The sequence below is a fragment of the Homo sapiens genome, chromosome 1 (genome assembly GCF_000001405.40).
Source record: "Homo sapiens chromosome 1, GRCh38.p14 Primary Assembly".
In the NCBI taxonomy this organism is placed as follows: domain Eukaryota; kingdom Metazoa; phylum Chordata; class Mammalia; order Primates; family Hominidae; genus Homo; species Homo sapiens.
In genome coordinates, this window is record NC_000001.11 from 188,843,067 (window position 1) to 188,844,180 (window position 1,114).

The 1,114-nt window shown below is 36.4% G+C and overlaps 1 annotated feature.

The window, feature by feature from the left end:
• Positions 259-459: a silencer, noted in NCBI's record as "peak538 fragment used in MPRA reporter construct". NCBI's record gives its function as "represses an SCP1 promoter by STARR-seq MPRAs in K562 erythroleukemia cells {active_cell/tissue: K562}" and the evidence as "EXISTENCE:reporter gene assay evidence [ECO:0000049][PMID:32103011]".

Consider the following 1,114-nt stretch of genomic DNA (forward strand, 5'->3'; position numbering starts at 1 on the left):
AGTTCAAATTATTTTTTCTCTTACATGAGTTATTTAACCTCCAAAACTCAGTTTCCTCCTCTGCAAAAAGGGAAGAATTGTTATGAAATTAAAATAAGAGATTCCGCATGTAAAGTGGTTCATTATTTTCTAGAACTTGTTTAACACCGGATGAATGCCATTTTAAGTGTAGATTTCTCATGCAGACTCAATGTGGAATGGAACTTAAGTATTACTTACATAGCATGCATATAAACAACAGCAAAGCGTTAGAGGAAATTCAACCTTCACTTTCACTCCCATCTGGTCCTGGAAATTCAGTAAGTTGTTACAAAGGTAGTTGGCATATTTAACAATGTTCAACAAGGTTACCTTCTTTTCCCAAGGGCCAAAGTAAACTCTTCTGATGACTCATTCGCAAATTACTTTTAATATAAGAGAGATTGTTCATCAGGTATACCAATAGAGGATGAAAATATCTATTATAAAAATTAATATTAAATTTTCTGAAAATAGCATTATGATTTACTGATTTGGTAATCATTTTCTATGAAAGATATTGAAAAACTTGAAAAGTAAGATGAATTGTAATAATTTGATTTTACAATATTGATGGTACTGAAAATTAACTGAAGAATTATGATTGGACATTAATAACTGTGGCAGATGCTGTAATGTGCCACTTAATTTCTCCTTCAAAGAAGAATCTGTTGCCTCAGTACAGAGAGGGCTGTTAAAAGTTAGCCTTCAGCTATCAGCTCCTTCAGAAATTGCGTCAGCTGCACAGAGCTGCCTTCCCAACACCACTTCCCTCCGCAGGGTGTCCACATCAAATAATTGATCCACTCAGGAGATTAAAGGCCTGGACATTAAGGCCTGACTTGGGACAACCCTGAAGGGCCCTTTCGGCTCCAGAACTCGTAGTGGGGATGGCCAAAGCTGTCAGTAGGCCTGTATCACAGCTCAGCTTCTTTCTCTAGCCATTCCTGATCCCTTCCCTTCAGTTCCAGTTATGTTAAGCCTGAGAGCCCACCTAAATAAATTTATCCTGAGCTATAAACTCCTCAGTTGGCTTCCTGGGAAACCCAAACTGGAAAAAATAGCAATAGTATTAATAATAATATATTATTATATT